Consider the following 27,529-nt stretch of genomic DNA (forward strand, 5'->3'; position numbering starts at 1 on the left):
AAAAGCCACCTATAACACCATGATAGATAACTATTATTAACATTTTGTCAGGTATACCCCTGGTCTTTATGTGTGTATTCTTAATATCCTAAACTATTAAGAGTCCATTCTAAACACTCTCAGCCTGGCTCTTTCTTAAGAACTTACCGAAATGTAATCTGCCTCACCATCTTATTTCATATAAGATGATAATAGAAGTCATCTGTTACCATTGCTTCAACTTTTCTACTCTTCTGCTTCATTTAAATGTGTAAATTTGTAAATTACAGTATCTTACTCTCTGACTCAAAACCTCCCAGTAGCTTTTCAATATACCAAATAAAATTGAAACCTCTTACTGTGGCTTATATACCTCAGACCAGCAAAGTCCACTAGAAATACAACGTTAGTCACAAATGGGAGCTACATTAAGTAATTTAAAATTTTCTGGTAGCCACATTATGAAAAAAAGAGAAACTGGTGAAAATACGTTTTATGTAACCCAAAAACTATTATTTCAACATGTAATCAGTATAAGAAATTGTTGATGGGATAGTTGTCTTTTTTTAGACTGTCTTTATAATTTGGTGTGTATTTTCCACTTAAAGTACATCTCAATTCAGACTAGCTACATTTCTTTTTTTGTATTTTTTTTGAGACAGAGTCTTGCTCTGTCTCCCAGGCTGGAGTGCAACGGTGCGATCTCAGCTCACCGCAACCTCTGTCTCCTAGGTTGAAGTGATTCTTGTTCCTCAGCCTCCCGAGTAGCTGAGACTACAGACATGCACCACCACGCCCAGCTAATTTTTTTTTTTTTTTTTGAGACGGAATCTTACTCTGTTATACAGGCTAGAGTGCAGTGGCACAATCTCGGCTCACAGCAACCTGGGTTCAAGCGATTCTCCTGCCTCAGCCTCTCCCCAGTAGCTGGGACTACAGGTGCATGCCACTACACCCAGCTAATTTTTGTATTTTTAGTAGAGAGGGGGTTTCAGCATGTTGGCCAGCCTGGTCTCAAACTCCTGACCTCAGGTGATCCACCTGCCTAGGCCTCCCAAAATGCTAGGGTTACAGGTGTGAGCCACTGCACCCGGCCTAAATTTTTATGTTTTTAGTAGAGACCGCGTTTCACCATGTTGGCCAGGCTGGTCTTGAACTCCTGGCCTCAAATGATCTGCCTGCCTTGGCCTCCCAAAGTGCTGGGATTACAGGCGTGAGCCACCATGTCTGACCCAGACTGGCCACATTTCAAGTGCTCGGTAGCCACATATGACTAGTGGTTACCCACATGGACAGTTCCATCTTATAAAAGTACTATAACCTAGTTATCTGTTGGGTGTAACTTAAGTTTATTATTTTTTTCTTATTATTATAAGTAGTGTGATAAATATAAGAGCTACTACTATGTATTTGTCATTGTTTCTTTCGGATCTAGTCTGTCTTACAATCACTGAATCAAAGCATATGAACATTTCTTAAAGTCTTTTCATAAATATTGCCAAATTTTGTCCTTAAAAGTTTGACTAACATCAAACTTTAATATCAAATTTGACTAAAAATATGACAGAATACACATTTCTTGTATATCTTTACCAGCATTATCTGTCTATCCATCTACCCTCCATCTTTCCTTCCCTTTCTATAGGAATCATCATATATTTCTTTAATTAATTATGATGGTAAATAAACCTGGATATTGGACATCTTCTAGTTTATCTTTTGCCCATTTTGGCTGGTGTTTTATATTTGTGATACCCTTTTAAACTTTTTATATTTTTAGGATTTAGGATAGCAACTCTGCTATATACTGCAAATATACATATACACACAAATATATATACACATGTATACATACACACACACACACACACACACGTATGTTTGGGTTTTTTAAAATGTTTTTTGAGACACGGTCTTGCTCTATCACCCAGGATAGAGGGCAGTGGTGCAGTCATGGTTCACTGAGGCCTCTACTTCCTGGGCTGAAGTGATTATCCCGCCTCAGCCTCCTGTGTAACTGGGATTACAGGCGTTCCCCACCATGCCTGGCAATTTTTTGTGGAGATGGGGTTTTACCATGTTGCCCAGAATGGTTTCAAACTCCTGGGCTCAAGCAATTTACCTGCCTTGGCCTCCCTAAGTGCTGGGATTACAGGTATGAGCCACTGGGCCTGGCATGCAAATATTTTTCCTGGCTCTTCATTTACCTAACAGTGTTGTCTTTTCTCTTGCTCTCTCTCTCTCCCCCTTTTTTTTTTTTTTTTTTTTAACAAAACAAAAAAACAGGCAAGGGTTTTTACTTTTTAAGAAAATTAGGTTAATACTTTCTTTTATGGCTTCTACTTTGCTTTTATATTTAAAGGCTTCTCCTACCCAGTTAAGTTTTCTTCTAGTTCTTTTACGGTTTCATATTTCACATCTGTCTTTTTCTGTTCATCTGGGATTTATTTTGACATATGTGAAGTGAAATAACCTCCCTTATTTTTCCTTAAAAATTTTGGCCCCACTAAAAAAAAAAACAACTTGTTGCCTTGAAATAAAGCTGCCTTTATCATATGTTAAATGCACATCTTCTTGGTTCTTTTTAGGTTTTATTGAAATATCAATGATTTGGTACCAGTGTACACTTGTATACATGGGGCATGGTATTTTCATTTTGTAAACAAGTGTGTTTCTGTTATTGTTTAAGTCTCCCCCCCATCCCCCTTTTTTGGTTGTTGCTTTGTTAGTCCTCAGATTTTTTAGTTTATTCTTTTGGGGCTTCAAATTAGTTTTGGTTTTGATTTTTTTTTTTTTTTTTTTTTTTTTGGAGACAGAGTCTTACTCTGTTGCCCAGGCTGGAGTGTGATGGCATGATCTTGGCTCACTGCAGCCTTTGTCTCCAGGTTCAAGTGATTCTCATGCCTCAGCCTTCTGAGTAGTTGGGATTACAGGGGTGTGCCACCACACCTGGCTAATTTTTGTGTTTTTAGTAGAGATAGGGTTTCATCGTGTTGGCCAAGCTGGTCTCGAACCCCTGACCTCAGGTGATCTACCCACCTCGGCCTCCCAAAGTGCTGGGATTACAGGCGTGACCCACTGTGCCTGGCCAGTTTTGAATTTTTTAACTTAAAAAAATTGCAACTTTTATAATATTTTATGTTTTATAATGAAAAAATGTAATCCTATTGAATGTTCCTCTGAGCATAGCTTTAGCTATATTACTTAAATTTTGATGAGTAATATTTTTATGTTTATATATTTAAAAACCCCTGCAGTTGCAGTTTTTATTTTTTCAACAAGTATTTAAGCACCTGCTCCATCTAGACATTCTGCCAAGTGCTGAGGACACAACTATGTACAAGACAAGGTCTCTTGCCTTCATCCAGTTACAGTCTGTCAATATAGACAAACCAACGAATAAAGAATTTTCAGATTTCGACAAGTGTCTAGGAAGTAAATAAATAATAGAAGGTGCTAATTGGATGATCTGAGACTGTCTCTCTGAGGATGTCATGTTTAAGTTGATTGGTGGTACCAAGGTGTGTATGGGAGTTTCTTTAGCTTTCCCAATCTATCGAAACATAAAAAAAAAAAAAAACGGAGTCTCACTCTGTTGCCCAGGCTGGAGTGCAGTGGTGTGGTCTTGGCTCGCTGCAACCTCTGCCTCCTGGGTTCAAGCAATTCTCCTGCCTCAGCCTCCTGAGTAGCTGAGATTACAGGCATGCGCCACCATGCCCAGCTAATTTTTGTATTTTTAGTAGAGATGGGGTTTCACCACGGTGGCCAGGCTGGTCACAAATTCCTGACCTCAGGTGATCCACCCGCCTCAGCCTCCCAAAGTGCTGGGATTACAGGCGTGAGCCACCACGCCCAGCCGAAATGACTAAGTTTTTTTGGGAAAATATTTTGTGAAAATTGCTTTGCAGGCCTGGCTGAGATCACTTGATGTCAAGAGTTCAAGACCAGCCTGGCCAACGTGGCGAAACCTCATCTCTGTTGAAAATACCAAAATTAGCTGGGCGTGGTGGCCGGTAGCTGTAATCCCAGCTACTCGGGAGGCTGAGGCAGGAGAATCACTTGAAACTTAGAGGCGGAGGTTGCAGTGAGCCGAGACTGCACCACTACACTCTAGCCTGGGCGACACAGTGAGACTCCATCTCCCAAAAAAAAAAAAAAAAAATTGCAAACAGTTTGAAGCCTCTTCCCCATCTTCCAGCTGGATTGCTGCTCCAAAGCTTGTCCTGTGTAGAAAATTTGGAACTTTGATTCTGAGTTCTAAAATCAAGAAGTTGAAGGTAGTTTCCCATGTGAAGAGAACTGCTGGCACAAATGGTACATATGCAAAGTGCTTGACTTGACTTTGAATTTGACAGAAGATTAGAATGACTGGTGTTTACTGAGGGAGGACAGTGGGACAAGCTTTGTTTCAGGACTTGTTTGGGAGACTTTTATTTTTTATTTCCAAATGGTAGGGCTGCTTCCACCCCTCCTGCCTTCCTATGGAGTTTTGATTTTGTAATCCAAATCAGTCTCCTACAAATAGCATATATTATTTTACCTCTTGTTACTTTTCTTCATTATTTCTACTGTTTTCAGTTTTCTCTACTCAAGACCTTTGCATATGCTTTTGTTTTGCTTAGTTGTGATTTCCTTGAGGAATCCTTCCTTGATGCCACAAAATAGGTTAGGTCTTTCTCTTGGCTTCATGGGCTCATTTTATATTGGGCTTTTCTTTCATAAACATTTGTAACAACTCCAGTTCATTAAGTTTGTGTGAATTGTTTTAGCATCTATTTCTTCTTCCAGAACCATAGTCTGGTAGCTACCATCCACTTGTGGCTATTTAAATAAATTTAAATTTAATTTAATATTAAAAATTCAGTTCCTCATTTGTATTAGTCACATTCTAGGTGCTCACTCAGTGGCCTTATGTGGCTAGTGGCGATTGTGTTGGACAGCAGAGAGACAGTCTTCTGCAATAATAGATACTTATCTTAATTTATAGTCCTGTGGCTAATGGCTACCATATTTTATTTAAATAGTCACATCTGACTATTGAGATATGGCAAGTCTGAACTGATGTATTAAGTTTGAAATAGGAACTTGATTTCTAGTACCAAACAATGAAAATATCTCAATTTTTAAAATATTACATATTGAAGTAGTGATATTTTACATGTATTGTGTTAAAATATACTATTACTGTTAATTTTATTTCTTAATTAAAAAAATTTTTTTTTCTTGAGACGGAATCTTACTCTGTTGCCCAGGCTGGAGTGCAGTGGCACAATCTCGGCTCACTGCAACCTCTGCCTCCTGGGTTCAAGTGATTCTCCTGCCTCTGCTTCCCAAGTAGCTGGGACTACAGGCGAGCACCACCGCGCCTGGCCTGTTTTTTTTTTTTTTGTTTGTTTGTTTGTTTGTTTTTGAGACATGGTGTTGCCTTTGTCGCCCAGGATGGAGTGCAGTGATGTGATGTTGGCTCACTGTAGTCTCAACCTCCCTGGCTCAAGGGATCCTCCCACCTCAGCCTCCTAAGTAGCTGGGACTACAGGCGCGCCACCATGCCTGTATAATTTTTAAAAATTTTTAAAATTTTTTGTAGAGATGGGGTTTCACTGTGTTGCCCAGGCTGGTCTTGAACTTTTTTTTTGAGATGGAGTCTCGCTCTGTTGCCCAGGCTGGAGTACAGTGGCACGATCTCGGCTAACTGCAGCCTCCAGCCCCCGGGTTCAAGTGATTCTCCTGCCTCAGCCTCCGGAGTAGCTGGGATTACAGGCGAGTGCCACCACGCCTGGCTAATTTTTGTATTTTAAGTAGAGACTGGGTTTCGCCATATTGGCCAGGCTGGTCTCGAACACCTGACCTCAGGTGATCCGCCCACTGTGGCCTCCCAAAGTGCTGGGATTATAGGCGTGAGCTACCGCGCTCAGCCGGTCTTGAACTTTAGAGCTCAAGTAATCTGTCTGCCTTGGCCTCTGAAAGTCTTGGGATTACAGGCGTGAGCCACCGTGCCCAGCCAATTTTTAAATTTCAATGTGACTACTAGGAAATAGAAAACCACATGTGGCTCTCATTATGTTTCTGTGAGACAGCACTGGTCTGACTCGACCATAAGTTTGTACAGTGGTAGGGACTATATCCATTTTATTTACTGTGGTATCTTCAGCGCATAACAGACGTTCAAAAGATTTGGTGAATGAATAAACTAACTCTGTTAACTTTTGAATGTTATTGCATAGTTTACAGAGAATGTTACCTATTCAGCTTTTGCTTTTCAGAATTGTTTTCTTTGTGACTGATTAAAATGGTTGAGAAAAGCTCTTTCAGTAACTATATAAAGAATGAGTCTTCGTCTTTTATGTAATATTTTATTTATTTTTTTCTGGTTTAGGCCTCCAAGGAGAGAGAGAATTTAAAGTTGGCCAGTCTATTTTCTCTTAGTTTTTCTATGTCTAGCACTTTTTCTTAGATGATCTATGATATGTTGTTTGGCACATGAAAATTTATGACTTAAAATCTTAATAGTTGAGTATTATAAATGCCTTCTCTTTTATTTTTGTCTCACTATTGTGATCCCTGTTTCTTTTTATTTTGCATTAATCAGTGACCTTGTTTATCCCTTGAGACCTAAAACAAAGCAATGTACTGTTTTTTTGTAGAAAGATACCTTATCCTATCGGCTTGGTTTATGCTTGCTTATTTGTATGTTTCCTTAATGTTTCCTTTGTGTTCAGTGTTTGACCTCATATGCCATTCATTCAAACTCCCCAACTCCTCATACACACCTTGTAATCTTTTCCCTAAGGAGTCAGGAGAGATACACCAGGAATTGCAGGCTCAAATATATCTTACTTTTGCCAGGGAAATATTTTTTTTATTTTTTGTTATTTATTTATTTATTTATTTATTTAGAGACAGAGTCTTACTCTATAGCCCAGGCTGGAGTGCAATGTCTGCTGCCCGGGTTCAAGCAATCCTCCTGCCTCAGTCTCCCAAGTAGCTGGGATTACAGGCACCTGCCACTGCACGAGGCTAATTTTTGTAGTTCTAGTAGAGACGGGGTTTCACCATCTTGGCCAGGCTGGTCTTGAACTCCTGACCTTGTGATCCACCTGCCTCTGCCTCCGAAAGTGCTGGGATTTACAGGCGTGAGCCACCACACCTGGCCATATTTTTTTATTTTTTATTCCCCATTGAGGTGTTTTTCAGAGTTTATCCTTAGTGATCCCAGTTATGTTTTGCTAATGTCAGGGTGGTCTTTTTATCAACTACTACAATAAACCACCAGTCGTGCCAGAGAAAATGCCCAGGATTAATTTCTTTTGTAGGAAGAGCAGTTTGAACTATATGGAATCCTTCAAAATTCTAAGAAAGTGTTTGCCCTGTTCTGTATATATTCTGCCAAAAGTTGTTCCTAATAGTCTAGATATTGATTCTTTATGTAAGTAGGGTCTTTTTAATCAAAAGTGAAGTGGGACCAAATTGTTCAGTGGCTTGTTCTCTTCTAAATTGTTTTTAGCTGATAAGATTTGGGAAACTTTCTGGGCTTCCACAAATAATATACAATACATCTTTGAATACTTGATGCTTAAAAAGTGTTGTTACTGCATGCAATCAGGGAGCTCCAGAGCTTTTTGCAGGCTCCTTGTTCCTGAGAAGCAATATTGTTTTCATATTATCTCGGTTATACATTTTATGGTTGTGACATTGCTTTCTTTTTGTTTTTGCTGTTGTTTTCTGCTGCTGCTGATTTAGAAATGAAATAAGCTAACTCTTAATTTTAACCTGTTTGCTACCTAAAATGGTAATCATCTTGATGTTCTTTCAAGCAGGTCCCAGAGATCTTAAAATGATCCGGAATCACTGAGTCCACAGTTCTCTTTTCTCTTGGTTATGTATAGATGGAGAGTGGTCTTGGTGTTATATTAGTGTATGATTCGTATTTGTTTCATAATTAACTTCGAAGTGAAAAATTGATGCGAGAGCAAAGGTTTATTTGGTTTCCATAACTATTTACTAATTTTATGCTTGCCAGATTTTAAGATTAAACTGTTTGCCATCTCTTTTTTTTTTCTTCCCGTAAAACCTTTGGCCATCTACAGTCACTTTTCCTCAAATCTTATGCTGTAATTCAAACTGTATATTCTTTTTGCTGATTGCTTCTGTACCTCCTCTGCTTCCAGTGTTCTTTTGCAAGAGTGTCCACACAGTGGGAAGAAAACCTGAACTTGACTCATGAAGTGCTGGGCATTCAAAACAGTGAATCCTTGCAAAGGATCTTGGGAGTAGACCCCTGTGAATTGGCTCTTTCAATTTGTCCACTTAAAGGGCATAATAGATTATGCAGCTGTTTGGGCTTCAGCAGGGTATTGCTCCATATTCATGCCTAGTTGCAATTATGTGAATTTTCAGTTTGTTACAAAGACTTCCCTTTGTATTCAAAACAATTTTGTTGGCTTTGTGTTCTAATATTTGAGTTTTCTCTGAGGAAAAATAGTTGCAAGATTTTGAACTTTGAAAACTTCAAATTAAAATGTTTAAAGGTTTTGTCACTTTTTATTTTCTGATGCAAACCATACATTGAAAGCATATTTTAAGAAGAAGTCACTCTAATAAGCTTTAATTTCGAGTTTATGAATCACAGGATTTTTGGTAGAGGTAAAAACTATACTTACACCGTAAATTAGACATTAAATGCCATTTAATCAGTCAGATAATGATTAATGTTAGAGTAATGTTTGATGGGCCAAGCTGCTAAAACATAAGCAGTTCTAATTAAAATATATAAACTTATCACGTAAAAATAGCAAACTTAGTAATGTATAAAGTGACAGTAGGTCTTTTTTGCTTAAAAATCAGAGTTCCTGTGTAGTGTCTCTTTATGATCTCTGTAGTAAAAATATTATTTAACGTAGCTTAGTGAGAAGTTTAAGAGGAGTATACCTTTTACTTTAGGGTGCCCATGCCACTTTGAAGTTATGGAGTGCAAAGTAGTTTCCACACATTAAAAAAAAAAAAAAGATGAAAAAGACTTAAACTTTTCTAAATTTTATACCTGAACATGTCATTAGAACATGTGCCTTTTGCTTTTAGATATCTGTTTGCCAATGGTTAAGCATTAACCTTGGCAAAATACTCACATGTCAGATCTGTTAAATGTAATAGTATTTCTGCCCAGTATTTTCTTCAGTTTTAAGTAGAAATATCAACCTTTGATGTCACTGAAATTTCTACTCTGTTGTGATACTGAGAACATAAATGTCAGTGAGTTTGATAGCTTAGAAGTGAATCTTTTGCATTCAGTATTTTAGTGCTGTATATTTTCACTTAAGTTATAGTTTTCTCTTTAAGTCTTAGAAAAAAACATTGGTTTGTTCCTCTTAGCAACATATTGTAATGGATTTTCTGTTGCCGTTTTACAATTTTCAGGTAAAATGTGAACTCTATTAAAAATAATCTGTCTTTAAAGCATAACTTCACCTTCATTGCTCCATAAAAATAAATGATTTAGATTAAAAGCATTGTATTTTAAACAATTGGTCACAGCTGCTTCTGTGAGATTTTCATTTTTGTTACTTAGTTTATTTTTCACCTAGACAAGGGTAAGCAAACAGTATATGATGGGAAAACTGAAACCTTATGTACTGTTTCTTTAAGAAACCAGCTTATCCAGGAGGTTTTAGTGTGTCTAACCTAACCTGCTAGCAAGGAAAAGTTCTTTAAAATAATGGATATTAGCCGTATCCAATCACAATTATCAGTTTCACTAACAGGGAGGAGATTTTACTCTTCAGCCACTAGAATTGGAGAAGGTGGAGCTTGGTATTCAGGTTTGGTTGCTTTGGAGTACAGCTTCAAGTGAAGTTAATCTGAGGTGAAGCAAACAGAAAATTGTGGAGGTTTTGTTGGTAGGATTTTTGTTCTAATCTTTTTATGATCCTTTATTTTATAATTTTGCTCCTTTATGATTCTGTGTGTGCTAGGTTTTGTCACTGTTTTTATTTTCTGATGCAAACTGAACACTAAAATTAAGCAGGGAAGCAGAACAAAAGGGCTCTTTGGACAGGAAATAGGTGTTCAGAGAATCAAACTTGACTTTCTCCTATCATTATTTTTAGTTCAGAATATGAGTGTCATTAAAACATCTTAGACTCAAAATCATCTCCAATAACAGGATTTTTTTTTGAATTGGTTGTTTGAACAGTCAGTTGTCAGTTTTTATAAATGACATCTTGAGGAGGTTCATTTGATATGTCATTTTCCTTAAACTTAAAATGTTAAGTTGCTGAAAGATAAATGTGATAGGCTTAAATACGTCTTTTTTAGTAAATTGAAATGCCAACTGTTTAATTTTTTTAACCCCAGCACAGCACCCCTTTTAATTTCAGTATATTTTAATTTAACAATATGTTGACATTTTTAATATGCTTATAATTTTTAATATGCTCATAATTAAAAAGGCCATTGATGAACAAAGTGAAACTGCTTTCTTCTTACTTCATTCAAACTCTTCATTTCTTTCAAAGGTGGAGATAAGTAATTAACATTTCGAAACAGGAAATGAAAGGATTTATATTTTTAAAAGCTATAGGTAGGCTACTACAACTTTTTTTTAAAGTATCTGATTCTATTTACATTTCTTATTTATGACGTAATTGTAGTGTATTTCAGTACAAGAATATTTTTTAGAGACTGTTTTCTTTATATTGTTGCTCTTTGTTCTCATAGAAATTAAGGTATAAATTGCAATAATCATTGCAATAATCAGACCAAAAGCCAGCTAAGCATTTTCAGCCATTGTATTTGCTATGCTACTTGTTCCGGATCATGCAAAGGTTTTTAAATTAATGCTTTTCTGCTATATCTGTTGTTTAAACAATAGTGTAATAATAATGAAATCAAGAAAAGTTACCTATCTACCCACCAGCAGATCATTGTTTGGTCATCTCATTTTTTTCCTGTTCCCTTCTCTGTCTTATATTCTTGCAGTTTTCCAATAATTATGAATCTGTGCAGTTTTATGTTTTCACTTAACTATCTGTTGAAATTGTTTTCATTTCAGTAACTATGTAATTCTCTTAAATTGATGTGACCTGAATTAACCTAGTTTTTTGAATTGTCTACTTTTAGGTTCTAATTTTTCGTCATTTTTAATAGTATTGCGTTGAACACACCTGTGTGTAGCTGTAAAATATTTTCCTTTTTAAAAAAGATTTCTTTTGGAAAAATCCTGGAGTGGCTTTACCTAGATCAAAGGATAATGAACACTTCACTGGCCAAATTGTTTTTCTAAAAAGTTATACCAGTTTATATCGACACCAGCAGAATATGCTTCAAAGTTTTTCTGATGTGTAGCCCCTTAAATGTTCTGTTAAAGTGTGCCTATGGAGCTCTCTGACTTGTTGATTAGTTTTTGCCTAAAAGCCTATTTTCAACACCACTTTCCAAGATGTAGATGGATATAAAGCAATTTTTCTGGATATTAAAATCAGCTGAGGGAAATTGGAAACACTTTTACCCACTTAACTGAGCAATTGTATCTATGCTAGATATTTTATATACTTAGTGTATGTGTTGCTATTAGTAAGTATGGGGCTTAATGTTTTACACTGGCTTTGTTATTCAGGCTGGCTTTTCTTTTTCTTCTGGTAAGCACATACCAGAAGAAATATTTTCTTTCAAGAAAATATATCAGAAACATTTTTAGGAGGAGACTGGAGTAGTGCCAGTTAACATTAGGAGACTGGAGTAGTGCCAGTTAACTTTACCTGTCTCAAAAACATGTATGAATAACCTTTGTCATTATTTGTGCGTTTCTTAATTTTGAGTTTTTAAAAATACACTTTGGAAACAGATAACTTTTATGAATAATTACAGGCTTTGAAATGGTATATCAGCATCTTTCCAGTATTTTATAGGTTTCAGTTAAAGGTAAGAACTTAACTTTACACACATATAGTGGTGCTAGACATATGTTGTTTCTGTTTGTCTTTAAGAGCATGCTTTGTTGGCATTGACCACAAATTATGTATACTTTTACTAGCTTGTCTGTTAAATGAAATAGGCATAACTGGCTTATAAACTAGTTGAGTAACGTTCTAGAATAAACTTAAGTTGTGTTAAAATCAAAGACAATTCTAAGACAATCATATTTTTTCTTACAAATGGGGAGTAATGATAAGCCATAGGCTGGGCTATAACTCATTGATGGAACCAGTAGTTGAGCATGTATGGTATGGAGTTAGTCTAGCTCATTTTGCAATTTAAATAATTTAACTTACTTTGTGTCAACTTTTATTTCAATTAACTGATAATTTAGTATCTCTGACTTTCAGAGCTGATGCTGGTATGTTTGTCATTGTGTTTGTTTCAGAGGGAAGTTTTTTTTGTTAATGTCTACTTTTATTGTTTGATTTTTTTTCAGATACTTTGGTGTTGAACATTTGGGATAGAAGAGAGAAATTTAAAATTAAAAATTTTCCATATTTCTATCACAAATATTGGTAATTTGACAACATGTAATTTGATTGTCGTCTTAATAAAATTTAATGTTATTGCTACCAAATAGAGATAAAGGTAATTGTAAATACTGTAGTGAAAGTTTAGCTGTTGATTACATTTTGCTGGGTACCCCAAGGTAAAGAAGTGATTTTTTTTAGTGGTTTCTGTAACTGTAATTCTGCAGTACTACTGATCTTACATTGACAGATTTAGGGAGTATCTTTTTGGTTTCCTAGGGAGAGTGGAAAGTAGTTTTCTACAAGGAGAAGAAAACTTTTAAATTGACCTAGGTATTTGGGTCAAGATATGAAAAGTGATGGTTGCGTTTTATTTCAAAAATAATGTATTCAAAGTCTCTGTTGTTAGATGCCATTCAAGAGGAACATAGTGATTTTTTTCCCTCCAAATAATATGAGGAAAAAACTTAATGGGCAGTAAGTTGATAAAACTTGAAAGAACCTAGAGCCATTTTTGTTTAAACCTATTAATGCTAATTTTTGAACTGATGTGTCTATGAACTTGTTTGACTAAATTTGGTTTTCTGTGTTTGTATGCCATCGGAGAAAATGAACTCGAAACAGTTTTGTCGTTAGTAGTGCTTTGGTAGAAGAGAGCAGATCCATCTATCCCTGTTTATACCTTTTTTCCCCTTCGCAATATAAATACCCTGTGTCATCTGCTACCAATAGATTTTTGTAAGTACTAGATTTCTCAGCAACATTTAGTGCCATTGACTACTTTTCCTGCTTGAAACTCTTCTCATTATTTTCATGATACTGTCTGTGCTTTCCTCATTAGTGATCTCTGTGTCTTTTGCAAATGTTTCTCCTTTACAACCATTAAGTAATAGAAGTTCGTAGCATTTTGTTCTTAACTCTTCTCTAGACTTCCCTTTTGATAATCTCCAGTCCCATATCTTTAATTAGCATACTATACATATTAATGGTTCCAACGTCTGAATCTAAAATCCAAAACTTTTTTTGTACCTGAGACCCATATTTATCCAGCTCACCAAAAGTCACAGCAAATGGGTGATACTGCCACCCAAGCCAGAATCTGATTGTCATTCTGATTCTTCTTCATCACCAGTTAGCCACAATTAGCCTATAAATTTTAAATTCAGTGTCTCTAGAATCAATCTTTTTTTTTTTCCTTCACGTGTTAGCATAAGGCCACACGGTATGATTTCTTAGATGACTAAACACCCCCCTAATTGATCTTCATTTCCATTTTAGGCTCTGTATAATACATTCTTTACTGTGCGGTCATATCTGTTTTTCTCTGCTTCATATTCGTTAGTGAATACTAGCTAGAGTGAAGAATAACACCAGCTGATTCTGTGCTAAACATTCTCTCAGATGGTCCCCACGCTAAGTACTGTTAGTCTTTTCGAACCAGTAAGTCAATTTAGAAAGGCTAGCTAATTTGTCTAAGGTCTCCTTGGCTGGTAAGTGACTAGCATACTTTAAAACTGAGGTTTGTCAGACTGGAAGTCCTTTCCTTTACACACTGAGCTGTGTGCTTTCCTGAGCTTACTTCTCTATTCCTTTTTTCCCTCACATCATTCCACTTCACTCTTTAACCACCAGCTATTTGTAATTCCTTCTTCTAAGGCATAGTGAAAACTTGCTGCCTGTCTAAAAATGCTTTAAGGGAAACAAACATTAAAAAAAAAAAGTATTTCTGACAGTTTTTTGGAACACTTTGATAAAGGATATTAAACATTTTAGCATCCCCAGGATACAAGAAGATAAAAGAATGAGGCACAGGCAAAGTAAAGGTAGTTTTCCTTATGCACATAGTTTTGAGTTTCATAGCTGTTGAATTCCTCACGTTTAATAAAAGCTTGAGACCAAGCTGTGTAGTGGGAAGATTAGGCAAAGTGCAAAAGCACTTTAAGCTATTTGAAATGCTAACAACTCCTTAAATAACTGTTGGCTTGGACCTTGTGCTCATTCTGCATCCGGGTGTATAAAGCACCTGCCTGTGAACAAAAGTCAAATAACTTACTGAGTAACTTATACATAGGGTAGAGAGGCTACATAGATTATTTTGCATCAAATATTCTATCATCAAAAAAGTTAAATAATGCAGACAACATTACTTACAAATAAAATTGACGTGAACAGAAAAATAGTTGATTTGGAATCATTTTCATTTAAAATATTTTCTCTTTGTCCTCTGTGCCATTCCCCCTCTAACATATTTTAAAGCAAAAGGACCTCTATTGGACCAAAAAAAGAAAAAGTAGCCTTTTTATTCATAGCTTTGAAAGCAACTTGGTGGTAAAGGAAAAAGGTCAAATTGATGAAACTTTTGAAATACAGGTAAATATTACCAATGTTTGTTTCTTTGAAGGGATCAAATTATTAACTATAGTTGGGAATTAAAGGTAATTATAAGCATAGTAAAAATCCATGAATTACCCATTGTAAGAATAGGAGTGAGTTTTCTTTCTTTTTTTTTTTTTTTTTTTGGAGACAGAGTCTCGCTCTGTCACCCAGGCTGGAGCACAGTGGCGTGATCTCAGTTCACTGCAACCTCCACCTCCCTGGTTCAAGCGATTCTCCTGTCTCAGCCTCCCAAGGAGCTGGGACTACAGGTGTCTGCCACCACGCCCGGCTAATTTTTGTATTTTTAGTAGAGATGGGGTTTCACCATATTGGCCAGGCTGGTCTCGAACTCCTGACCCTTGTGATCCACCCGCCTCGGCCTCCCAAAGTGCTGGGATTACAGGTGTGAGCCACCGCGCCCGGCTTTCAAAACTTTTAATGTGGCATTATTTACTATCCATAATAGTCTTTTGCTATATTTTATTTTTTCAACTTTTATTTTAGGTTCAGGGGTACATGTGTAGGTTTGTTACATGGGTAAATTGCATGTCACTGTGGTTTGATGTACAAACAATCCCGTCACTCAGTGACCATAGTACCTGATAGGTGTTAATAGTTTTTCAACACTCGCCTCTCCCCAGCCCTTTCCTCTAATTGTCTCCAGTGTTTATTGTTCTCATCTTTATGTCCTTGTGTACTCAGTGCTTAGTTCCCATTTATAAGTGACAACGTGGTATTTGGTTTTCTGTCCTGCATTAATTCACTTAGGATAATGGCCTCCAGCCCCATCCATGTTGCTACAAAGAACATGATTTTGTTCTTTTTTATGGCTGCACAGTATCCCATAATGTATATGTACCACATTTTCTTTATGTAGTCCACTGTTGATGGGCACCTAGGTTAATTCTATGTCTTTGCTCTTGTGAATAGTGCTGTGATGAACATAAACGAGTGCATGTGTCTTTTTGGTAAAATGATTTATTTTCTTTTGAGTATATACCCAGTAATGGGATTGCTGGGTCTAATGGTAGTTGTGTTTTAAGTTCTTTGGGAAATCTCCAAATTGTTTTCCACAGTGGCTGGACTAATTGACATTAACACCAACAGTGTATAAGCATTCCATTTTCTGGGAAACTTCACCAACATCTGTCATTTTTTTGACTTTTTAATAATAGCCATTCTGACTGGCTTGAGATGATATTTTGATTTTGATTTGCATTTCTCTAATGATTAGTGATGGTAATGTTGAGCATTTTTTCATGTATTTGTTGGCTGTATTTATGTCTTCTTTTTTTTTTCATTTGCTCAATTATTTTATTTTATTATTATTATACTTTAAGTTTTAGGGTACATGTGCACAGTGTGCGGGTTAGTTACATATGTATACATGTGCCATGCTGGTGTGCTGCACCCATTAATTTGTCATTTAGCATTAGGTATATCTCCTAATGCTATCCCTCCCCCCTCCCGCCACCCCACAACAGTCCCCAGAGTGTGTCTTCTTTTGAGAAGTATGTGTTCTTTTGCTCGTTTTTTAATGGGATTATTTGTTTCTTGCTTGTTGAATTCTGGATATTAGACCTTTGTCAGAGGTGCAGTTTGTGAGTATTTTCTCCTATTCTGTAGATTATCTGTTTACTCTGTTCTTTCTTTCCTTTTTTTTTGGAGACGGAGTCTCGCTCTGTCGCCCAGGCTGGAGTGCAGTGGCGCGATCTCGGCTCACTGCAAGCTCCGCCTCCTGGGTTCACGCCATTCTCCTGCCTCAGCCTCCCAAGTAGCTGGGACCACAGGCACCCGCCACCACGCTTGGCTAATTTTTTGGATTTTTAGTAGAGACGGGGTTTCACCGTGTTAGCCAGGATGGTCTCGATCTCCTGACCTCATGATCCGCCCACCTCGGCCTCCCAAAGTGCTGGGATTACAGGCGTGAGCCACCGCACCCGGCCTACTCTGTTCTTTCTTTTGCTGTTCTTTTGGTATACATTAAATAATAAAAATGTAAAATAATGACAATAGATTTTGAATGTTATAATAGATTTATGTGATATATAATTTGAAAAGAATGTTTTCCTTAGCTTTTTTTTTTTTTTTTTTGAAATGGAGTCTCGCTGTGTCGCCCAGGCTGGAGTGCAGTGGCGCAAACTTGGCTCACTGCAAGCTCTGCCTCCCAGGTTCATGCCATCCTCCTGCCTTAGCCTCCCCGAGTAGCTGGGACTACAGGCGCCCGCCACCACGCCCAGCTAGCTAATTTTTTGTATTTTTAGTAGAGTCGGGGTTTCACCGTAGCCAGGATGGTCTCGATCTCCTGACCTTGTGATCCACCTGCCTCGGCCTCCCAAAATGCTGGATTACAGGCATGAGCCACCACGCCTGGCCCTTAGCTTTGAGAAACAGAATACACAACCGTTTTTCTGTTTTTTTTCCCTTTCTTTTTTTTTTCTTTGAGATAGAGTCTTGCTCACCCACCCAGGCTGGAGTGCAGTGGTGCAATCTCCAGTCACTGCAACCACCATCTCCAGGGTTCAAGCAGTTCTCCCGTCTCAGCCTCCGAGTAGCTGGGATTACAGGCACCCACCATCATGACCAGCTAATTTTTGTATTTTAGTAGCTACGGGGTTTCACCATGTTGGCCAGGCTGGTCTTGAATTCCTGACCTCGGGTGATCCACCCACTTCGGCCTCCCAAAGGGCTAGGGTTACAGGCATGAGCCACTGCACCCGGCCTACACAACCAGTTTTCTTAAATTTTGTAGATAATTGTTTAAAATTATATATACAGTAGTTGCCCCTTATTCATGGGAGATATGTTTGAAGACCCACTGTGGATAGTACCAAACCTATATTTGCTGTGTTTTGTCCTATACATAAATACCTATGACATAGTTTTATAAATTAGACATAGTAAGACATTAACAATAATAGAATAATTATACTGTAATAAAAGTTATGTGATATCATCTCCCTCCCTCTTTCTCTCAAAATATCTTAGTATCTTCAGGCTGTGGTTGATCTCAGGTAACTGAAACAGCCGACAATGAAATCTTGGATGTGTTAGGTCATTCTTGCATTACTATACAGAAATACGTGAGACTGAGTATAAAAAGAGGTTTAATTGGCTCATGGTTCTTCAGGCTGTGCAGGAGACATGGCACCAGAGATCTGCTCAGCTTGTGATCATGCCTCAGGAAGCTTACAATCACTGCGGAAGCAAAGAGGGAGCTGGTGCATCACATGACAAAAGCCAGGAGCTAAAGAGAGTGGGGTGCGGAGAGGTACCACACACTTTTAAGCAGCCAGATCTTGTGAAAACTATCTCAAGGACAGCACCAAGGGGATGGTGTTAAGCTATTCATGAGAACTCCTCCATCCCCATCATCCAGTCACCTCCCATCAGGCCCCACCTCCGATACTGGGGATTACAGTTCACCATGAGATTTGAGTGGGGACAAATACACAAACTTTATCAGTTGATAAGGGTGGACTACTGTAAGGTTATCTTTTCTCTGAATGAATACTAAGTCTCAGTAGCTGTAGGAATTTAAAAAATACATTTACTTTTTGTAGAAAAAATTTATTCTTTGCAGACTTTCAAATGAAAACCTACACTGAAAAGGTGACATTGATTGCCTAAAATAATTGTTTCAGTAACAAATTTTTATTGAGTTGTGTGCATACAGCCTAGTCAGATAGTCAGACTAGTTACACAGTCAGATGAGCTTGTAAAGTACTGTAAAATGGTCCTTTTCTGGAGGAAACTCACATACTGTTTGATAAAAGTAGGGGATATGAGTATTTCCTATCTGATAAGTCAGTGTTAAAGACTTTAGACAAATTTAATGGAATTTAATTGAGCAAAAAGCGATTCAAGAACCAAGCAGCTCCCAGAACCAGAACAGTTCAGGAGGACTGCAGAGTACCGTATTGTCAAATAACATATTGTCAGATAACATTTATGGTCAAGAAAAGGGAAGTGACATGCATACAGCAAAGGGAAGTGAGGTACAGTAACAGCTAGATTAGTTACAGCTCAGCCTTTGCCTCATCTGAACACAATTTGAACAGTTGGCCACCTATGATTGGCTGAAACTCAGCTACTGTGATTGGCTGAGACTTGGCTACTTATTACAAGAGTAGGTTACAGTCTGCTTACATATCAAGTTAACTTTATAGTGCACTATGTAGAGAGAAACTTTGGGCCAAACCTAAAATATGGATGGAGGCAGCCTCGGGCCAGACTTAATTTAGTTTAATGTCAGGATCATATATTACTGAGTGCAAACTTGTGTTTGTTATAGATGATTGCTGTAGAAGTTCAAGTGGGAAGAAAGATAAGCCAAGATAATAAGAAAATTAGAAAAAGTAAAATCTGAGACATTCCTTGAAGATTTGTTAGATAGGTTTGAGACTGGATGTACACTAAAAGCTTTATTTACCCGGAAAGAGGCAATCCTGGAATGGCAAAATGGAGGGAGTAATAGATTCTGGATATGCCAACCAAAATTTTGCTGGTTTAGCAGGTGCCATTTAATTTCTCATTTTTCCAGTAAGCCCAGGTGGGGAAGAGGTATGGAGTATACATAGGATATGGGAATGGTGTGACTGTGAGCAGTGGTGAATTATGAAGGCTTCTATGCAAATAAGTGGTAAAAACAGGGTTTGGAATATTAATTTAATTGCAACTCATATTGGACACTATCAGACACATTAACTTTAAGTTCTCACAATATCATGAGATGGGTATTATTGTTGTGCCTATTTCGCAGATGATAATGCTAAGTTTATAGAGAGATAGGAAAAATTGACAAAGGTTAAACAGGTTTATAGACAGATAGGACAAATTGACAAAGGTTATGTGGCAGAGCCTAGATTGAAATTGGGAAGGCTGATACCAGAGCATGATCTTGCTATTCAGGTTTACTTAGAGAGGGAAGGTTTACTTAGGGAGAGGAATTCAAGGCAGGGAGACTACCAGTTGTTGTTTTTGAAGTTCTGTGGTAATGTGAGTAATTTTACTAATGTTCCTAAACCTTTGGGTTTGGTATCTCAATATCACTGTCAAGTGACTTTCTGGGAAAGGTAGGAAAGATTGACAGATGGATATAGCAGGGATTATTCATTCTTATTTTAGTGAGTGTCAAAGGATGGAAACTGGTAAGAGTTCCAGATATTTAAGGAGTTTATTATGAGGATTGGACCATGCTTCCCTCCTTGTTTTGCTGAGTTTATATCTTCTGGTTCTTTGATTTCCTATGAACTAAAAATCAGAATTCCATCTTAGAAATTTATTATTCAATTGAACTGCCCTCACCTCCCTTAATTTTCTTTTATAAAGTTTTCTCTGAGGTGGATATGGGATAGAAAAAATGATGGTGGACTGAGCACCTACTATGTATCCTATACATATATACATATGTTATTTTATTTATTTATTTATTTTGAAATGGAGTCTCACTCTGTCGCCCAGGCTGGAGTGCAGTGGCGCGATCTTGGCTCACTGCAAGCTCCGCCTCCTGGGTTCACGCCATTCTCCTGCCTCAGCCTCCCGAGTAGCTGGGACTACAGGCACCTGCCACCACGCCTGGCTAATTTTTGTATTTTTTAGTAGAGACGGGGTTTCACCGTGTTAGCTGGGATGGTCTCAATCTCCTGACCTCGTGATCCGCCCGCTTCGGCCTCCCAAAGTGCTGGGATTACAAGCATGAGCCACCGCACCTGGCCTATACATACGTTATTTTAAACCTCCCAGCCCTGTGAATTGGTGGTGGTATTATCCATAATAATAAATTCTGCACAGGTTTCTTAAGCAACTACTGGGTGCTATGCTAAGAACTTATGATATGTTGGGGAAACATGCAGAGAATTTATATTAAATGATAATGAGGGAGAAAAGAGACCAGATTATCATTGGAGCAGAGTCAGAGAAGACTGTAAAGTGGCTGTGCTAAGACTTAGAAAATAAATAAAAGTTAACCAGAGTGAGTGAAAGGGATGTTAGGTAAGCCTTGTAACTTTAGAGAAAAGCGTGTTCATGGAGATGATTAAGCATGGAAGTTAGGCTGGGCACAGTGGCTCATGCCTGTAATCCCAGCACTTCAGGAAGCCAATGTCAGGAGTTTGAGACTAGCCTGGCCAACGTGGTGAAACCGTGTATCTACTAAAAATATAAAAATCAGCTGGGCATGGTGGTGAGCATCTGTAATCCCAGCTACTCAGGAGGCTGAGGAGGTTGCGGTGAGCTCAGATCATGCCATTGCACTCCAGCCTGGGCAACAGAGCGAAATTCCTTCTCAAAAGCATGGAAGTTGAGAGCTTTAGGGCCCAGGAGGAAAAATGGCAGGAGAATGAGGCTTCATAGACAAGATGAGCTAAACCTATTCTCTTAGTGATGGAAAACCTTTGAATTACTGATTTGGGGCGTGGTCTGATCACCCTGAGAGGATTTAAATATCCTCTTAGGCAGTAAAGTGGCATGGGTTCAAGATTGTGCAGCTAAGAAGAAACAGCTCAGATCTGAATCCAGGCCTTGTCTCAGTATTATAGCACTCTGCTTCTTATGAAGTCTGTTTAAGCCTAGATCAGGGTTAGGCATGATTACAGCACACACATAGTTGCTGCAAATCAGTTCAGAGAGGCAAGAGATTAAGTGAGATTTACGAAGTGTAGGTCGATCATCCCAAATTCGAAATTTGAAATACTCCAAGATTGGAAATTTTCTGAGTGCAGACACGATGCTGAAAGAAAATGTTCATTGGAGCATTTCAGATTTTGGATTTTCAGATTAGGGATGCTCAACTGTTAAGTATATAATGCAAATATTCCAAAATACAAAAAAATTTGAAATCTGAAACTCTTCTGGTCCCAGACATTTTGGAAAAAGGATATACTTCCTAATAACTGAGGCCTAACTGGCCAAGAAGTGGGAGGGAGGAGGGCCTAAACCAGATGTAATGGCATAAAAGGGTTAGATGAGGAGTATTGATTTAATTACTAATTTACGTGGGGGCAGTGTGTCAGAAATGACCAAGGCGTTAAGCCGGGTTGGCAGAGAGATGATAGTTTCCTTGAAAACAATACTAAGTTAGGCAAAGCTATTTCTTGGAGCAAGTTCCTGAGCTATGTTGAATTTTGAGATTTAGGATTTTCTCTTCAAGTCATTGAAGGTTTTTGCTTTTACTAACCTGCAGATTTGACTCTGTATTAGACTCTGAGGATACAGAGATAAATAATACATGCTGTCCCAGCATCTGAGGACCAGGTGAGTGTCATCCTGCATCATCAAGCCTCAGAATGTCTCCTAAGCTGCAGTCTGAACCTAATTAAGAATTTTTAAGTCGGTTAATCCTGCCATGCCCCCTTGGTTCCTATACCAAATACAGTTCACTACTCATTCCTTTTGCTCTAGAGCTCTATTCTGTAATGAACAAGATACTTAACTCCTCACAGAATCTTTGTTTCCTGCCCTAACTGAAGCTTTCATCTTTCAAAGGACGCCACTTTCCTCCTGGTCCTCAAGTGTTGGCTGCTGATTCTTCCATACGTCATACCAGGAGGTTAAAAGGGGAGTGAGTTCTGTGTTTTCAGACCATTACTCTTCTGTCAAGTATCAAGGCTACTCCTGTTCATTATCTCTTTTTCTTTTCTCCATCGTTCTTTCACGTTCATTTAGAATTTTTGTACGTGGTTTAAGTTCTTCACTCTGTTCAAGTGACTTTCCACTACTGTGAATGCTGGGATTTGGGTCTGTTTTATTCGTTACTGTATCCTCAGATCCTAGAACCGTAGCTGGCACATAGGAAATGCTTAATTTTTATTGAATACATAAATTCATTTAAATTTCAAAGTAAATTAATTTTTTAAACTCCTATGACCTTTGTCTCCAGAGCTTTCGTAATCAACTCCCAAAATCACGACCTTAATCATTGCTTAAAACAGTTCCACTTCTGAACTTTTCTGGTCATACAATTGAAATACATATTAATTATGGAAAATTTGGCAAATGGATAGGCAAAAACAAAAAACACTCATCATCTAACTAGTTAGCAATAAAAATGGATAAAAATATCTGTATATTTTTCTAGCCTTTTTTCTGTAAACATGCATACCTAGGTTTAATTTTTTTAATGGGGATCATATTGTACATACTGTTTTTAAAATTCCTGGTGTGTTTTGTGTGTGTGTGTTTAACTTTAGGATATTTTGTGAAATCTTTACATGTATAGTCATGTGCCACATAATGACATGTTGGTCAGTGATGGACTGCATATAGACTGTGGTCATGTGTGTTTATAATACTGTATTTTTACTGTACCTTTTTTATGTTTAGATACACAGATACTTACCATTGTGTATTACTCTCTTCGTCTCCAGACCTATAAAAAAAGGTAGTTTATCTGCACCCATACCAGTAGACGTATTAATTTTTTTTAGTTATTGGCAATTCATTGGTGAAAAAAATTTTATTTTATTTATTTATTTGTTTTTGAGATGGAGTTTCAACCTCTTGTTGCCCAGGCTGGAGTGCAATGGCGCGATCTCAGCCCACTGCAACCTCCGTCTGCCGGGTTCGAGTGATTCTCCTGCCTCAGCCTCCCAAGTAGCTGGGATTACAGGCATGCACCACCACACCCAGCTAATTTTGTATTTTTAGTAGAGATGGGATTTCTCCATGTTGGTCAGGCTGGTCTCAAACTCCCGACCTCAGGTGATCTGCCTGCCTCAGCCTCCCAAAGTACTGGGATTACAGGCATGAGCCACTTGCACCCGGCCTAAAACTTTTTATATTGAGGTATAATTTACATACCACAAAATTCACCTGTTTCATAAGTGTTCAGTATTTTTTAGTAAATTTATAAAGTTATGTTGTTACTACCACAATCCACTTTTAGAACATTTCTGTCACCCAAAATATTCCTTGAACCAATTTGTAAACAATCCCCTTTCCTACCACCCATTATGGGTAACCAGTAACCTATAGATTTGCCCTTTCTTGACATTTCATATAAATGGAATAATAACAAAAATGACCTTAAAATGTTATTGAGGTACATTCATGTTGCACTACCTGTCATTAGCTTAATCTTTTATTGTGATAAAATATACATAAAATTTACCATTTAAACTGTTTTTAAATAGACCATTCAGTACCATTAAATACATTCACATTGTTGTATAACTATTACCACTTTCCATCTCTAGAACTATAAAAATTGTCCCAAACTGAAACTGTACCCATTAAACTATAACTCCCAATCACGTCTCCCCCAGTCAGTGGTAACCAACATTGTTTCTGTCACTGTGAGTTTGACCATTCCAAGTATTTCACGTAAGTGGAATCATACAATATCTGTCCTTTTGTAGTGTGGCTTATTTAATTTAGCATAATGTCTTCAGGGTTCATCCAGATTGTAGTATGTATCAGAATTTCATTCCTTTTAAAGGTGGAATAATACTCTCTATATATACATACCACATTTTGTTTATCCATTCATCCATGTATGGACACTTGGCTGCTTTTATGCTTTGTCTGTTGTGAATAATGCCACTGTGAACATTTGCGTACAAGTGTGTGGCATATGTTTTTGTTCTTTGTGGGTAGAAACCTAGGAGTGGAATTTCTAGGTCTTAGGATAATTGCATGTTTAACTTCATACGAAATGGTCAAACTGTTTTCCCAAGTGGCTGTAGTTTTTTACATGCCCACTAGTCGTGCTTGGGAATTCTGTTTCTCTTCACCCTCATCAAAAATCGGTGTGGTCAGTCTTTTAAATTTTAACCATTTTAGTGGATGTGGAGTGGTATTCTATTGTGGGATTAATTTGCATTTCCTAAATGACTAATAACAACTCTGATTTGGAATGCTTAATATCCTACTTTTCTGACTGTAGCCTCCTGTCATTCCAATGCTCATTCTCCTTTTCCCAGCACGTTTATTCTTAAGCTTTAAGCTTTATCAAGATTTCTGGTCCCAGCACCTCTTGTTTCATTCTCTCCTCTAGCTTCAGTTCCCTCTTCAATCACTTTTCTTCCAGTATTCTTAGCTTTGAATCTTTGCCCAGTTTTGCCATCTACTCTGCTTCTAAGTGCTATCAGAGGAAATCATATAGTTTTGTTTTGACACTACTATGAATTTTTTTGTAACTTTTAATTTATATTTATTTTCAAACTTTTACATAGTTATTGCATGTACAGTACAAGGAGCTTTCATACATCGTTTTTCTAGATTCCCAATTGTTATACTGTGTCCTGTTTGCTTTATCATATTCTTACTTTCCTTGGGGGTGTATTATGCATGCATATATAAAAATTAAATTAGTATGCACATACTATATATGCATTGTATATATAATACATATGCATGCTATGTTTTTCTGAATCATTTGAGCATAAGCTGGAGACTTTTACCCCTACATACTTCAGTATATATTTCCATAGAGCAAGAATATTCTCTTACACAGTGTGATTAAGTTATCAAAATCAGGAATTTTAACTTTTATGCAATAATATTATTTAATATACTGTCCTTATTTAGTTTTGTCAGTTGTCTCAACAATACCCTTTATAGCTTTTTGTTTTGGTTTGCTTTGTTTTTTTAAGCTTTACTACAAACTTTATACTTTACAACTCCAGCTTGGACTTGTCCATCCTTTTTGATCCTAACCCTCTACCATTTTTCTGTGTGCTTATCTTAAACCTTCTCTATTCTTTAAGACTTTGGCCGAGCACAGTGTGGTTCATGCCTGTAATCCCAGCACTTTTAGGGCCAAGGTGGGTGGATTACCTGAGGTCAGGAGTTCCAGACCAGCTTGACCAACATGGTGAAACCCTGTCTCTACTAAAAATACAAAATTAGGGGGTGTGGTGGTGCACGCCTGTAATCCCAGCTACTCAGGAGGCCGAAGCAGGAGAATTGCTTGAACCCGGGAGACGGAGGTTGCAGTGAGCCGAGATTGTGCCACTGCACTCCAGCCTGGGCGATAAGAGCGAAACTCTGTCTCAAAAGAAAAAAACGACTTCGTCCTCACTCTTTCCTTATGCTTTATTGTTACCATTGACATAATTTTGTGAGTTTTCTCAATTTCCTGCCCCTTCTTTTCCTTAATTTACAAATACCTGTATCTTCATTTACCCTCTTTTCTTTATGGAAGATAAATTCTTTCTGGATAAGAAAATTCTGTTACGTGTGCTGTAGATCATTGCTGTCTAATATGGTAGTTAGTAGTGGCTATTTAAATTTATTAAAACTTAGCTCCTTAGTTGCACTAGCTCCATTCCAAGTGCTCCGTAGTTCCACAGGGCTGGTGGCTACTTAATATATTGGGTAGCACCTTTCTAGATTCCCTTCTTTCCCAACATTTGAGGGATTTTTCTTTATCTCATCTTTATCCATAATAGACCCACCATAATCTTGCCCTTGCTTATCTCAGTATCCTCATCTCAACGTGTACTGTACTTCAGTCACAGTAAACTACCAGCATTTTCTCTAAATACATTGTTTCGGGCCCTTTTCACTTTTACAGCTGTTATCTTCCCACATCTTCCTGAAAGACCTACTCATAATTGACAACTCCTTCTGTTCTTCACTGATCACACCAGATTGCAATAATTCAACATATTTGCCTCTTGTACCAAAGCTGTGAGATCCTTTGTGAGTAGGGGCCATATTCTGTCTTCGTGTGTGAGTGTGTGTGTTTTTTTTTTTTTTTTTTTTTTTTTGAGACAGAGTCTCTGTCACCCAGGCTGGAGCAGTGGCACGATCTCCTCACTGTAGCCTCCACCTCCCTGGTTCAAGCAATTCTCCTGTCTGAGCCTCCCGAGTAGCTGGGATTACAGGCTGTGCCACCACCTGGCTAATTTTTGTATTCTTAGTAGAGATGGGGTTTTGCCATGTTTGCCAGGCTGATGTTGAACTCCTGGGCTCAAGTGATCTGCCTGCCTCAGCCTCCCAAAGTGGTGGGATTACAGGTGTGAGCCACCACTCCCAGCCTAGCCTTTGTGTTCTCTTGACCTAGCATTCAACTATATGTTGAATTGAAATGAATATGTAATCTCTGCCTTCTAGCTGCTTACCATAGGCTGATTGATGATCACTTGTATAGACTCCATTGCCTGTGGAAATGGAATAGCTTTCCTTGTAATACTGCCTGAGCTCTGCTTTCCACCCAGTCCGTTTTAGCCTACTTGAGCCCTGGACCTTGACTGCTGTCTGGATGCTTGAACTATGTTTTCCTTTTTATTTTTCTAATCATCTAGAATCCAGCCTAACTCTCCACCCTTCTAGGTATTTATATTTTAAGAGTATCAGTCTACTTGTGACTCTTGAGTGCACTATGTAGAATCATGGTATCATGTTTTATTTAGTCTGTAATATCCTTCATCCTCATTCAAAATATTAAGGTGAGTCTCCCACCATAAACCAAAACAATCCTTTCCCTATAACGAAGCTAATCACTGTATAACTTCTCTTCCTTGTTTCTATTTGTGTTGTTTCATATTATATTGTGACTTGTTAATTTGTCTGTTTTCCTGAGTAGCAGCCATTCCTTATTCAAATCATACTGCTCAGAAACTTTTTCATTTCAGCTTACGTAGCTATTAAGTAGTAAAGCAAGAATTTGAAGCCAGATGTACATTTTTTTCTGTATCCTCAGTATCTGATAGTACCTAAGTACTCAAGAAATGCCTCTTGAATTGACCAGTGACCACAACTCTGTCAGAATCTGCATTTCATTCTTT

General features: G+C 37.7%; 1 protein-coding gene across 16 annotated transcripts in view, besides 1 other annotated feature; it reads left to right on the top strand.

The window, feature by feature from the left end:
• The window catches only part of ZFAND6 (zinc finger AN1-type containing 6), a 79,443-nt gene that overhangs the window by 3,825 nt on the left and 48,089 nt on the right, over positions 1–27,529 (top strand). For 2 of the 16 annotated variants that reach the window (NM_001242912.2, NM_001242913.2), the window contains exon 2: positions 12,389–12,467. The exons of 8 other annotated variants lie outside the window; for them this stretch is intronic. The gene's annotated coding sequence lies outside the window, so the exon portion shown is untranslated. Of the gene's footprint in view, positions 1–9,786; positions 9,873–10,490; positions 10,556–12,388; positions 12,468–27,529 lie in introns of those variants that run through there. 6 more of the 16 variants (XM_024449959.2, XM_047432696.1, NM_001242916.2 and 3 more) reach the window with 4 other exon arrangements.
• Positions 4,359–4,408: an enhancer, noted in NCBI's record as "active region_9943". NCBI's record gives its function as "activates an Ori minimal core promoter by ATAC-STARR-seq in GM12878 lymphoblastoid cells {active_cell/tissue: GM12878}" and the evidence as "EXISTENCE:reporter gene assay evidence [ECO:0000049][PMID:35858748]".

Source organism: Homo sapiens, chromosome 15 (genome assembly GCF_000001405.40).
Source record: "Homo sapiens chromosome 15, GRCh38.p14 Primary Assembly".
NCBI lineage: Eukaryota > Metazoa > Chordata > Mammalia > Primates > Hominidae > Homo > Homo sapiens.